This window comes from Homo sapiens, chromosome 9 (genome assembly GCF_000001405.40).
Source record: "Homo sapiens chromosome 9, GRCh38.p14 Primary Assembly".
Lineage (NCBI taxonomy): Eukaryota > Metazoa > Chordata > Mammalia > Primates > Hominidae > Homo > Homo sapiens.
Genome location: NC_000009.12, coordinates 116,560,961 through 116,575,628, shown reverse-complemented (window position 1 = coordinate 116,575,628; position 14,668 = coordinate 116,560,961). Strand labels below are relative to the sequence as shown.

Here is a 14,668-nt window from a genome sequence, read left to right as displayed (position 1 = left end):
AATCCACTTGGGGTGCTTTCTTAGCCTAGGACCCCAAGACCTTATATTAATATAACAAAGATACATTGATTGCTGACTATGTGTCAACCTAGATGCTTAGTAAAGATGTGCTTTTTCTCTAATGATCTATAAATTAAGACTCAATGGAAGCTAGAGAATTTAAGGTGGTCTGGATCCTGCCATCTCCCCAGCCTCACTTCTCATCACTCCTCTGTAGGGATCCTGTACTCATCCACACCAAAGCAGTTGCATTCCCTGAAAGACTGTGCCATATTACCTTTGTTCATCTTTTTGGACCTTACCATCCTTCTGAATTTTTCTTTCTTTTTTTTTTAATTATACATTCCAGAACACTTGAGTTTTTTAATCAGTAAGTTTGTATTTTTATAATTATTAAAAACATAATTTTACTATGAAAAAAAGAGGTAAGCCAATAAAAGTGATACTGCAGTATCTGGGTTGTGGTAATTTAGAGGTAAATACAGGTGTCATCACCAAGCAAAAGGAATTAAAAGTAGAGCCTTGAAGGACAAGGTAGGACTTGAATGAAACGAAGAAAGAAGGGTGTTCTAATTGCAAGTACAAAAGTCTGAAGGTTGTAGCTTGTGAATCATGCACAAGGACAAGAGACACCAAGACAAATGTAGGTTAGTTGGTATGGATGCTGAAGGGAGTAAGGATAGAGTCTTAACTTGAAATCTGCTGTACATTGTCTTTCATTGAATGCCAGGCTGCTGCACTTGATTTTGAGCCCGTACCAGTTGGAGGGTTACTGAAGTTTAATGTGCAAAGGAATAACATCATGGGGTCTGTGCTACAGATAAAATAGCAGAGATGTTGCCCTGATACATCTGATGAAACTGGGACTTCTGCACGTTGGCTTTGCTACCTGCAAAGGGGGAGGTGGTCCACACACAGTCGGTAGAAACGGGCAAGCATTTTACCATTGGCCTTGACTTATTGAAAGGAGAAAAGGCCAATCTCTTTTTCAAGAGGAAACTAGATTTGTTGTCTTTCTCTGCCTTCCCAACAGACTAAATCCAGGCACATGTTCACAAGCACCTTCCACTGGGATCAGTGAGCTGTTTATTCAGCTTATCTCAAATGCAGGCAGCTTTCTCTTTGCATAGCTGCAATAAGCTCACCCTCAGGGCTTAGAACACAATTGAAGTGGGGTTGGGTGGAGTGGGAGACAGAAAGGGAACAGTTATGAGCAGGTCTGGGGCCTGGCACTGGCCTTTGAGTATACTGCTCACTATCTTTTAAAAAGTGATTCCTGTAGCCAAAAAAGGCCACATTTCCTACCTTTTTCCTTCTTACTTAAGGCTTGGCAAGTTAGGACCCATGGGCTGGCTGTCTGTTTTGTAGATAAAGTTTTATTGGAACACAGCCATGTCCTTTTATTTACATATTATCTATGGCTGTTTTCACACTACATGGCAATGTCAAGCACTTGCAACAGAGACTGTGTGGCTCACAAGGCAGAAAATATTTACTACCAGCTACTTCATATTTAAAAGTTGCTGACCTTTGATCTAACTAAGCTTCCTCTATCCTTCAAAGCATAGCTAAAATTCACTTCCCCTGGGAAGTTTTCCCCGATTCTCCCAGGTCTCACTCAGTCCTCTCACCTTGGATGTACAATGCCACTTCTTGTCCACATTTTTTATACCATGTTTCTCTTTTTTATATGATTTTAAAAACAATTCTAAGTACAACGTATGGCTTTGGGGACAACTGCCACATTTTATACTTTCTATAAAATCATACTCACAGGAGTTGGCAAAGTGGAAGTTGTATATGGTTTATAGAGAGGTGCCTGGTATTGAGTGTTGCTGTCACTGACCAATGCCATAACTTGGGACAAACCACTTCACTTCTCTGAGTCTCTCTTCTCATCTGTCATTTAACATGATAACATAGTACCTACCTGTGTAGGTTAGTACAAGATCCAAAGAGATTAACTAAAACAAACACACAAAAGCAAAAGCAAACAAACAAAAAACATGATTCTTGTAGTAAATAGTTATTTAATAATAACTGAATTATGCTACTTGGGGTCTTGCTTTGCCCATGTGTAAATTTAGAATTTTGTCCCATAACATTCTGGAAAAAAAATCCATTATTCATATCTTTTGTGAAATGCTGAGTACAGTCTCCTCCTTTCTTAGAAATTCATAAGACATTATCATATTAAAGGCTCTGAGATATCCCATGAGAAAAAAAATCTGTTTAACTTTATTTAATCCTGTATTTTTCAAATTTATTTGGCCACACCTTCAAATAACTATTAATGTCTCATGGGAGGTAATGTTCTGAAGAACACACTTTCGACCAATTGGGCCAAGTGGTCTTTTGGTTCACCTGGAGCTGTCATCCTGAGTTAAAGAATAGCCATTGCTTATCAGAGCCTCTTCTTTAATCACCAGCACAAGGAATGCAATGAAAACTCATGTTTTTGCATAAAATGGTGCCTTTGGTTGTGTTTCTTCTATAACGCAGGAAATAGTAAATGTGTATATTCTCAAACCCCACGATATTAGCCATGCAGGCTGTTGGATGTTCTGCCTCCTGATGTGTGTGTGTGTATATATGTGTGTGTGTGTGTGTGTGTGCATGTACCCACATGTGTGCACGCATGTACCCACATGTGTGCACACAGCACCTTTCTCTTCCTCTTGAGGCTGTCAGAGTCACGCACCTGGGGCATTACAAGTCCTGGGTACCTCTATAACTATTCCCTTTCTTCTCACAAGAGTGCCTTTGACCTCTTTCTGTTAAATCCCCTAGAAACATTTCAGTCCTCCCTCTTTCTGGAACTGGAACCCTTGGGTCTCCACCTTGGGTCCCTGCTGCAAAGGGGAAATTGGGGTCTTGGGAAATTATTCCCAAGGGAAAGCGTGAAGTCATTGGGTAAGCATAGATTTGAGATTCTGACTTCCTCAAACATAAATTGGGAATAGCTGACCCTTTCACCAGTGAGGGCTAGCACACATTTTGTTGGCTTATGCCCATGGGGCTGAGACCCAAGTAGGCGGTCAGGGAAGCCTTCCTCACCATCTGCTTAAGACGCATCTGCCGAATACTCAGTATCTCAGTGCACTTATTCACACCCTCTTTCATTCTCCAAAACATCTCGCTTTCAACGGCAAATTATAGGCGACCCTACCCATTCCTCTCCTAAAGTCCCTTATTAAGAAGGCTGGAAGTCTCAGGGGTGAGCAGCAAGGGAAAGAGGAAGTCTGTTTCCAGTGGTGTTCATGGCCCATACAGCCAACAGAGGGCGCTCCCACACCACGCAACACTGGGGTCCAAGGATCCAGGCAGGCCCTGGGGAAGGCGGCCAGCTGACCTTTCTCCAGGCTGTTCTTGGGTTGCCAGAGCAGCGGAGGTGTCAGCTGAGAGTGGTCACAGCCTGGGGAGGAGAAGGCAGGGAGAGAGGCTGGGGCACCCGAAGGGGAGGAGGAGCTGGCAGGGAAAACACACAGACACATTTCACAGAGGCAGAGACACAGGGGAACACACAGAATATGCAGTTGTACCTACAAACAACAAATGCAACATACCCCACACAGACACAGCATGCAGCCAGGGGATTTAGAGAAATCATATAGGGTGCAGACTCACAAATGAATGCAATCCATCCCATACAGGTATACACAATGCAGTCACCTCAGCCAGCTAAACAAAAACAAAGGCAACACACAGATACCAACACATATAAACATGCATGTGAGCACATCACCCAACAGGGACATTCAAGCTATGTGCAGCCAACGAAAGGCAGATAACAAAGAGACACGGTCACACACACACGGGAAGCACACAGACACATACAGTAGATCCACAACACATACAAAGTTACACACCATGGGGATAGCATGCCACGCACAGACAACACACAGCTTGTACTCAACACATGACAGATGCCTCAAGAGGCGTATCATAGATAAACAGCACAGGCACACAGATGCGTAAACATAGCCACCTTCCCACAGGCATACTGTAAAGATATACATACCGTGTGCCACATGGATCCACCCAGCACAAACAGACACAGACACATTAGATGGCATCCACTCACGTAGCACCCACAGCACAGCACACACCAAATACTCACACTCACCGTATGGACATAACTCCACATGGATCAAAAGCACTTGTAATTCAGTAAATGTTTCTAAAAGAGAAAAGAGGGAGAGGCCAGAAATAGGGAAAGAGAAAGGGTTGTGAAAGATGGAAAAAGAGACAGAATAGAAGAAAAGTGAGAAGACCCAGGGAAGGAGGGCTGGAGTCCAGATTGAGTGCTCAGCTTGGTCTCTTTCCCCTCTCTGCCTCGGTCATGATAGCAAAGAACAAGGTGATTTCAGGTGGCTCCCTTGGGGAAACCACATAGACTTGATGGCTACAGTAGGAGCTGATGGTGCCCCAGGGAGAGGAAACCACCAGCGTGGGGCCAGGGATTGTGCCTCAGTCTCATCTGGGGCAGTGGCACCGAATCATATCTGAGTCCTTGCAGCTTCCATTTCATCTCCAGGGAGATCAGCTCCAATCTTCCCCATCTCATTTAATCCTGACCTGTGAGTGTCTTACTGTTCATATCTGACTTTCTCTAGGCAGCAAATGTTGCAAAGAAACAATTACCAAAACTCTCAGGATGTATCTCCTTCTTCCTTTTAAAAATATACCTTTTTTAAAAAATAAAAGGAGAACATGTGAGTGATCCTAACAGAGCTTGTTCTGCCAGAAAAGACAGGACAGGTCAGGATGGTACAGGATTCAGCAAAGGTTGCTTATTATGTAACTAAACAAATAAAACTTACTTGGAATCACAGGATTTTGAGTGAAACAGATTCAGATGAGCACACTTTCTCAAGCAACCATCCTGGCCCAGATCAATGCAGGGTGCTGGGATATAGAAATAACAGACTCAGCCGGGCGCGGTGGCTCACGCCTGTAATCCCAGCACTTTGGGAGGCCAAGGCGGGTGGATCACGAGGTCAGGAGATCAAGACCATCCTGGCTAACACGGTGAAACCCCGTCTGTACTAAAAATACAAAAAAAATTAGCCGGGCATGGTGGCGGGCGCCGGTAGTCCCAGCTACTCGAGAGGCTGAGGCAGGAGAAAGGCATGAACCTGGGAGGCGGAGCTTGCAGTGAGCCGAGATGATGCCACTGCACTCCAGCCTGGAGCCGGGGCGACCGAGTGAGATTCTGTCTCAAAAAAAAAAAGAGACTAAAAGCCCTCATGTTAAAACCTGTAGAACAATAGGTGATAGAGATATAAAATTTAAAACTTATACAATAAGAGAGAAAGGGTTAAGTAAATATATAGGATTTGGTTATTCTTATATTGATAAGGAAAGAAGGGGCAGAATGAACATTAATTGTAAACCCACTATATGAACTGTGCTGGGCACTGTATATCAGTTATCTCAGTTAAAGCTCATAAAACAACTTTGGAAAGTAGAAATTATCAGCTTCATGCTTCAGATAAAGAAAGCAAGGCTAGAAACGTGAAACCACCTGCTCAAGACAACAAAGTTAGGGAGCCCAGATTCGAACCGAGTAATCTGCTTCAAAGCCCCCTGACTTTTCCACCCCATGGTAATAAGCATCTCCAATGACTTTTCACATCTTGAGCAAGAGCCAACAGAAGCAGGAGACAGACAGTCAAAGCAAGGAGACTCTGAATTAGACGGCATGACGGAATACATTAGACTCTCCAACCAGTCAGAGAAACCTTGGGCTATGAACTTGCTGGTCATTTCCCCAAGGCCTTGCATGCTCCAGTTTCTGGGTCTGGAAAGAGGTCTCCACTTAGGTATCAATATGCTGATTCCCAAAGTTCCTGCTGAGGCCCTCTGTCCTTGGGCGGTTCAGCTCTCGGCTCCATCATCACGCAGCCTACCATATGAGCCAGGTGTCAGGGATCTCTGGCATCTTGAGTTTTCCTAGGTGTCAATACGTAGAGAAAAGAAGGAAGGCAGCAAAACACATGAACCCAAATGTGAATTGAAGCTGAAGAGAACCAAATTCTGTTCTCCAGTTCACATGGTCTGGAGCACACATTTCTGTATCACTGAGTGTCTGTCGTGAATTTTCAGATAAACAGCAGAGCTGGAAGGAACACTTGAGATTGTCTAGTTCTTTACTGGTAGGAAAGCTAAGGTCTAATAACATGCCTTAATTTATTACTGCTGTGTTTTGATTGATAATCATAACAGCAAACATTTATGAAGTACTTAATATTGTGCCAGGAACTACGTTAAGCACTTTGCACATATTGCATCATCAGATGTTCACCATGCTTCTGTTAGGCCTGCACTATATTTGTCATTTTCACACACAAGCAAACCAAAGCTCTGAGACTTGCAGTGGCTTGCCATGGGTTGCACGGCTAGCCAGTGACACCATTGGCATGCAAACGAGGCCCGTCTGATTCTTAGTTCTAATTCCCAATGACTTTGGTTCGTTGCTTCCCTGACTACTCAGGAAACATGAAAAGGGACATTTCGCCCTGATTTAGAAAGAAGGTAACTCAGGTGCCTAGAAGAAGAATATCTTGCTCACACTCCAGAGCTCTGAACCTCTCATCTGCTTCCCTACCTACTGTTCCTTGGACCAACCTTGACCCTATCATTTTTCTTTCAGGGTTGGTTTAAAAAAAAATAGTGTCAGAGTAAAAAAAGGCCTCACCTTGCCTAAAGGATATTTTTGTAATACTGGAAAGTGGCATTCTCCCTGTCCTAAGCTTCTTTCTTCTTTAACAGGCCATCCAATTGTTGCCTTCCAGTTGGCTCCTTCGGGAGGGGGATCCTCTATCCCTTGGCCCCTTCAGTCTTGCCTGGTTCAATTTGGTCCTGTGGTCCTGATCCCCCATCAAGGTAGTAGTATCTTTCCTTAATTCAAACCTGAACTGAATATATGTCCCTGGGCCTCAGAGAGGGACCAGACTCAGGATGGTGAAATAACTGGCCTGGAGTGTCCCAACAAAGACTCTGTGTGTAGAGAATGGAGAGCTGGCTGGTAAGGCTGGGGGCTAGAGTGTTCAAATGTTGTTTATGCTGGTAGGATGGGTCTCTCATTCAGCAAGAAGATTTATCTGGCATTACGTAGCTCTGTCTGCTGAGATTTGGCTACCGATTCAGGTTCTGAAGATGGACAGGTTAATGGCTGCCTTTGTTCTCAAATATATTGAATTTTCTCCCTCGCTTTTCTTGGTCTTTCATCTACTTAACATCTCCTAAAAAAAGATAAAAATTAAAATTTAAAAATTTAAAAAAATATCCAAAACTCTTTCCATGTGATGAGCTCACTATAGGCTAGTCCACTAGTACAGTATTGAATTGAAATGCAAAGCATCCTTGTCCCAATAGGAAGGTTTTCTACCTGCTAAATGGATCTCAGAATCATTTCTTAATTTTTTTTGCATTATACATTTTCTAATATCCTGGTGAGAAGGAGAAATGAGAGTATATCCCACATTTGGGGGCTTCATCTGAATTATTAATGACATCTAGAGAAGAATACTTAGGCCTTTACCAAGAGACTAAGTACCTGAATTATAGTTTCAGCTCCACCATTTGTTAGCTGTTTAATCGCATCTTTACAGTGAGGTGATAATAATATTCATGTATACAGTAGAGGCTCAGTGAATGTTAGCTACTATTTTTGCTACCTGTTTCATTATGGTTATTATTAAAGGCACAGTCTCTCTGAGGCTTGGTTTTCATATCTGGGATGCAGAGATAATAACTCTTACCTTGACATTTTGGGAGAGGGGTGTAAAATGAGAAAGTGCCTAGCATACAGCCTGGCAGGCAGTACAGTTTCAATAACTAGCAGTTATTCAATAACTAGTAGTATGATCTGTCCTGCCTTCTGCCTGCCAACCGTCCTTCCTTCATCTTCTTCGTGAAATAGTTCCCACACCACTACTTTATGTCTCTTATTTAAACCACCTCTTACTGGTCTTGCTGTCTTCTGCCTTCACTCCTTCAATCCATCTTCCATGCTACAGCCAGAAGGGTCCTCCAAGGCCATTTTGATGTCACAAGCCTCCTGTGACTATTCCCCATCTGGCAGAGCCTACATTTTTAGGGACATGAGAGCCCCTATCCACCCCCTGAACCCAGGGAGAAGCTGCATGTCCACAAGGTTTCCAGCCCACTGACTGGACAGAGACTTCCCAGAATAGGCTGTTGGCGCCCCACCCCGCCAACTGAGAAGAGCACTCAGTGGGGAAAAACTGGGGAGGGCTGTCAAGGGTGCCACCCAGAGAGACAGAAGCCTAGGCTTGCAGCCTCACAGAGGTGCACTACAGCCAGCTTGTCTGGCTCCTGAGGACAACTGCACACATATCTTCCCAAGTCCACGTTCAGGTAAATCACAGTGGTAGTGTGAAATTGGCCAGGGTGGAAGTATTTATATGTTGGAAATCAGCCAGTGCTATGAATCGGCACTTTTCCTCTCTTCCCACAGAGAGCCAAGTTGTTAAACATTTACCAGCACTCAACTGAACCTCAGTCTTATCAATTGTTCACAAGTCACATGACCTCTCTCAGCCTTGGTTCCTTCATATGTACATTGAGGATAGTGTGTTAGCTTGGATCCTCTGAGAAGCAGATGCTGAGATGGGATAAAACATCAAAGGATTGTATTAAGGGAAAGGCCTATGTGAGAGAAGATGGGAGTTTGCTGTGAAGGCTGGGTGGGAGCCATCAGGTTGGGGGGAGTCTGACCCTGTGTGAAGGAGAGTGGGAAGGAAGGCTGTGCAGAAGCATCCCAGGCTGCTGCCCAGCCTAAGGGAATCCTCAAGACAGTCTGCCATCTGAGGATTCCTGTATCTCCCAGAATGGGCTTGCCTTAGTATCCCTGCTATGCCCAGTCGTTGGCTAGGAACAGCCTGTAGGAAGTGTGTCCTCAGTGCAGATGCAGGGTTAAAATTCAGAGTACTCAGACTAGGGCTCTTGATTAGTTAAGCCCCCTGCCATTGGATTTCCGCATGGTGAATCAATTCCGCTGCAGGTATTGACACATCAAATCCTGTTGATCCAGGTCACTACATATACCTTTAGAAATATTTTCTAAGCACCTAACCTATGTGAAACACTGTTCTGAGTCCTGGGGATGGAGAAATTTCCATTAATAAAGTTCTGGACCTTATGGGCCCCATACAGAGGAGATTAACAAGTAAACAGATATATTCAGGATAATGTGAAAAGTAAGGGGATGATGGCTAAGGAGGCTGTCAGTAAAGGCTACATAGAAAAACAAAGGATTGAGCTGATCCTGGAATGAGCCCAGTATTGGGTGAAATGGGAATTCCAGGCAGAAAAATCTTCAAAAGCAAAGGCCCAACATATGAAAGAACATGAAAGATTCAAGGACTTGTGCATGACTCAACATTGATTCAACATGAGATACAAAAGCAGAATTAGTGAGAAATGACCCTGGAGGAGAAATCAAGGCCAGACAAGACTAAGGAATTAGATGCATTTATTGTTTTTTTCTTTTATAGTGTAGACAAGTGAAGACTATTACAGACTTTCCATCAGAGGCATATTTTAGAATGATCACTGGCTGCAGCTTGGAGGATGGACTGGAGGGCTATGTAAGAGACAGAGCTTACACATGTAGAAGGCTGCTGGATGTGGAAGATGAGTGAAGAGTCTAAAACAGTATCCAAGTATCCAGCTTGTGTTATATGTACTTGTAATCGAAGGTCTCTCTCTAGATCTTCTACACCATAGTTTTCTAACTTCAGGTCATAATCCATTAGTAGGTTGTAAAGTCAACTTATTGGATTGGAGCCAACATTTAAAAAAAGAAAATAGGATGTAGGCTGAGTGTGGTGGCTCATGCCTGTAATCCCAGCCCTTTGGGAGGCTGAGACAGGTGGATCTCTTGAGTCCAGGAGTTCAAGACCAGCCTGGACAACATGGCGAGACCCTGTCTCTGCTAAAAATACAAACAAAAAAATAGCCAGGCCACATGGTGGTGTGTGCCCATGGTCCCAGTTACTCAGGAGACTGAGGCTGAGGTGGGAAGATCACTTGAGCTTGGGGTCCGGGGTGGGAATGGGTGGGCAGGTGGAGGGAAGGGTGTGACTGGAGGTTGCAGTGAGCCGATATCACACTACTGCACTCCAGCCTGGGTGATGAAGTGAGACACTGTCTCAAAATAAATAAATAAATATATATATATATATATATATATATATATATATATATATATGGAGAGAGAGAGAGAGAGAGAGAGAGAGAGAGAGAGAAACAGTGTCTTAAAAACATTATCCTGAATGTATTATACATACATTATCCTGAATGTATTTGTTTACTTGTTAATCTCCTCAGTATGGGGCATATGTGTGTGTGTGTGTGTGTGTGTGTGTGTGTGTGTGTGTGTGTTTGTGGCAAGCCTAAGGATTTTTTCATAAAGCTTGCATTTCAGTCATATATACATGCATGTGTATACTAGGTTGGGATGGAAAACATATGAATCACACTAGGTTGGGATGGAAAATATATGAAATAGACTAGAAAATATTGTAAGGCAGTGTTGTGTCTTACATATCTTAAACTCAAGGAATTATTGAGTTGAATGAGGCGTTTGGTTCTAGCTGGCTTAGGTTTGTACTCTAAGTCTACCTCCTTCAATTGGACAATGATGCTTAGAGGAGTTAAGTGATTTCTCCAAGATGAGATAACTCTCATCATATCCCTTACAATACCTGAGTTGATTAAGAAACTGAATCTGTGTATGCATTTATGAATGAATACAGATTATAAATTAGTATCATAGAAATATTTGAGTAAATTAATTAATGAATAAATGAATCCATGAATGAATGAATAACTAGATCTATATATGACTATATGAAAAAATAAATAAATGAAGTAATGAAGGAAAGAAGAATGGGAGGGAGGAAGAAAACTCTCGAATCCTTTCACAAGCACTGGGAATCTGTAGACTATCAGCCAAGAAGTGAAGGATTTCTGAATGACCCCAGGCAGGGGACAACAACCAGTTGGAATTAATCATGTGGCCAGCACAGAGATCAGCCAAAGTTGATGCAAGTATCATTACTTGATACTGCAAGTAACGATGGCCTTGCAGTAGACTTTGTTACACACCCGTTTATTGGGTGAGCTATTAACTGTCCCAGCATGGGGGTAGCAAGGCACCTGACATTAGAGAATGAATGAGATGTTTAGGGTGGGGAGAGGTGGGCTCTTTTTCCAGCTCTGGTCTGCTGAGTCATCTCCAGCCCCAAGGGTTGCCATGCCATCATTTATCCATCCCATGACTGGGAGGCAATCAGTTCCATGCACTTTGGGCCACCTCAGAAAGCTACATGTTTAGTTCAGGGGAGAAGTGCATTAACATGGAAGAGCAAGACCCAAAGAGCCACCTGAGATCACTAAAAGTTAATCAGGCCTATGTCATTTTAACTATTTGAATCAGGTTTAGGTTCGACTCTGGACTTCTCTACTTATTTGATGTGTGGCACTGGGTTAGTCACTTTACCATTCTGAGCTTCCACTTACTCAACTGTAAAATAGACAAAATATCAATCTTAAACTAGTTCTGTAATCCATGTGCTTTGCAAAGAGTTTATGGTATATAAATGCTTGTCCTCTACCTCTCTTCTTTGTCCTTAAAATCTCCCATGCTTTTTATCTGCTTACCAATTCAGTTATTCAACAAATATCTATTGAGTTCTTACTATGTACCAGGCACTGGTATCAGCAGTTAACCAAAGAGAGAAAACTCCTTGTCTTCATGGAGCCAGCATTCTGGAACGTCAGGTTGCAGATGCAATCCAGAGACACCATTCACTCAGCTCTAAAAGATGATTCTAGAAGGAAAGGGAGACAGGAAAAGGAAAAAAGTACAAAATAAATATTTTATCAGATGTTGATAATTGATACAGAAGAAAAAGAAAAGCAGAAAAAAAGACAACTATGCTAGATGAGGGAAAGGGCTGTCTAGTTTTAAATAAGTAAGTCAGAAAAGGGCAATGTTGGAGCAAAGATCGGAAGGAGATGAGAGACCTGAACAAAGAGCATCTCAGGTAGAGGGAATAGCAAGTGCAAGACCTTGAGATGGAAGCGCGTCTGATGTGTTTGAGGATGACAAAGAGATCATTGTTCATGTGGTTCTCTCTATTGCAAATTCTTTCCTTGCTATTCTGTTGGGATAATTTTTTTATTTTTATTTTTATTTTTATTTTTATTTTTATTTTTTTGAGACAGAGTCTCGCTCTATCACCCAGGCTGGAGTGCAGTGGCGTGATCTTGGCTCACTGCAAACTCTGCCTCCCGGGTTCACACCATTCTCCTGCCTCAGCCTCCTGAGTAGCTGGGACTATAGGCACCCACCCCCGCACCCGGCTAATTTTTTGTATTTTTAATAGAGACGGGGTTTCACCGTGTTAGCCAGGATGGTCTCTATCTCCTGACCTTATGATCCGCCCACCTCGGCCTCCCAAAGTGCTGGGATTACAGGTGTGAGCCACCGCACCCAGCCTGGCTGGGAGAATTCTTACCTAATCTTTAGACCCTCCTTCTCTTTTGTCATACCAGATAGAAAAATTACTCTGCAATGGTCTACTTACATCTCTTCTCCTGCAGAATGCAAGTTCCATGAGGGCAAGGCTTATGCCTCTCTTGGTCACCTCTGTGTCTTTAAGACCAAGCATACTTTCTGGCTCAGAGTAGGCACTGAATGAATATTTATTAAATGCAGTGTTAAATGAACACATGAGCTTTCCGAACCTTCCCTCTGTCTTCAGCTTAATCAGTGCCTCTTCATCCTTCATTTTTCAAAATCACGCATAACCTTTGCTTTCTCCAAGAAGCATTCTTTTTTTTTTTTTTTTTTTTTTTTAATGAGGCAGTCACTCGCACTGTCACCCAGGCTGCAGTGCAATGGCATGATCTCGGCTCACTGCAACCTCTGCCTCCCAGTTTCAAGCAATTTTTCTGCCTCAGCCTCCTGAGTAACTGGGATTACAGGCACCCTGCTAATTTTTGTATTTTTTTTCTTAGTAGAGATGGGGTTTCGCCATGTTGGCCAGGCTGGTCTTGAACTCCTGACCTCAGGTGATCCGCCCGCCTAGGCCTCCCAAAGTGCTGGGATTACAGATGTGAGCCACCGTGCCCAGCCCAAGAAGCATGCTTTAACTTGTCAAGGTTATGCTCACCTCTCCTTAACCTGATCTCCAAAGTTCACACAGGAGAACATTAGTCCAGTGGAATGCTAATATATGAGCCGTAGAATATAAAAACAGTTCTGGGACTAGTTAGTTTGGAAAAACGTTGGTTAATCAAATGTAAACAGGTTTCTTTATTCACTGACTTTACAGAAACTTTAATATGTCAAAGGGGCTTGTGAATTTCAAAGAGAGGGGAATTAAGGAAAGTTTCCTAAATGTGCTTGACTATGATGCTTTTTCTAAAGGAACAATTTTCAGGAACCCACTTTGGGAAATACTGACTGAAAATTTGTTGGGATTCTCCCATCTTCTGGACTGTTCTTTGGTTTAACCTCAGCCAACCTCTTTCACTCTAGCTTCATCGCCTGTGGCAGCCACCCTGGTTTTGATTTCTACCTCCCGCTTGCCTGCGGAGAAAAGGGCTTCTCAGGAAGAAGAAATTACCCAACATTTTAACATTTTCCTGGCCATTAGGGAATTCCTAAAGGAATATGAAGAATCCTAATTGTGTGAATTGAGAGGAAGTCAAGGGAATGAAAAGGGGACACCTATGTCCCAGGCCAGTGGAGGACAAAGACATGGCTTTCCTTCTTACCCTCCATAGCTACCTTCTCAAATAGTCTCAACAATAAAAGTTTGGCAGGTCAGTTCATGCTGTAACAATTAAATTAGTTGTGGTATGTAATAGATGCAGCTTGATACTCATAGGGATGGGATCTTTATCTTTGCTCCCTGGGGCTGTGGGAGACTCCAACAGGCTCCTTTAGATTTTGACAAGGAGACTCTTGTTTTCTCCTTCTCATTTTATTTGTGTCTTTCTCAAAGTCATTCTCTGTTTCTGTTTTTCTCTTTGGTAGTCTACTTTGTCTCCTTGGTGTAAATTTGTGTAATTCCTTTGTGTTGATTTGGAATGGCTTTTCTCAACCTGGCACCTGATGATCCAGCCAAACTTTAGGGAGTGGAAGATGATAACTGGTATAGTGGAGAAATGAGAAAAATATAACTGATTTTACCTCAATATATTTTATTCTACTTGAATTTCATTTAAATTAATGAAGATTTATTGAACTTCTACCAAGGGCCCTTTTCAGTCAAGGCATTGAGGAGGCTAAGATGATTAAGTTCTAGCCATTGTTCACAAGAACTTTCTAGCATAGCAGGGGAGACAGACATAAGAAGATGACCAAATGCATCACGATGCATACCAGATTAGAGGATATTAGGCAAGAGGGAATCTGGGTGCGAGTGTTTGGACGATTTGTGCTCATGGGATGAGTTTGAAGCAGGGACACACTCTCTCTCTCTTAAAGCATTGGTTCTCAACATGTTAGTCCTCCAGCCTTATTTTCCCTACACCCTCTCTCAGCTTCATCTTTACAAACTAACCCAGAGTTCATCTAGATATCTCTATGTCTACCCCATCCTAGCATAACAACACATGTACA

General features: G+C 42.8%; 1 protein-coding gene and 2 long non-coding RNA genes across 9 annotated transcripts in view; 1 reads left to right on the top strand and 2 right to left on the bottom strand.

Moving 5' to 3' along the window:
• The window catches only part of ASTN2 (astrotactin 2), a 991,946-nt gene that overhangs the window by 839,429 nt on the left and 137,849 nt on the right, over positions 1 to 14,668 (top strand). The window lies entirely within an intron of this gene.
• On the bottom strand, positions 5,699 to 8,003 carry LOC107987014 (uncharacterized). Its single transcript, NR_171890.1, has 3 exons — positions 7,767 to 8,003; positions 6,701 to 7,247; positions 5,699 to 5,955 (listed from the first exon to the last, which is right to left on the bottom strand). It is a non-coding gene; the product is annotated as an uncharacterized LOC107987014 (long non-coding RNA).
• Positions 13,336 to 14,668, bottom strand: part of ASTN2-AS1 (ASTN2 antisense RNA 1) — a 58,011-nt gene continuing 56,678 nt past the window's right edge. The window contains exon 12 of the long non-coding RNA NR_033973.1: positions 13,336 to 13,630. This is a non-coding gene — a long non-coding RNA (ASTN2 antisense RNA 1). The remainder of the gene's footprint in view (positions 13,631 to 14,668) is intronic.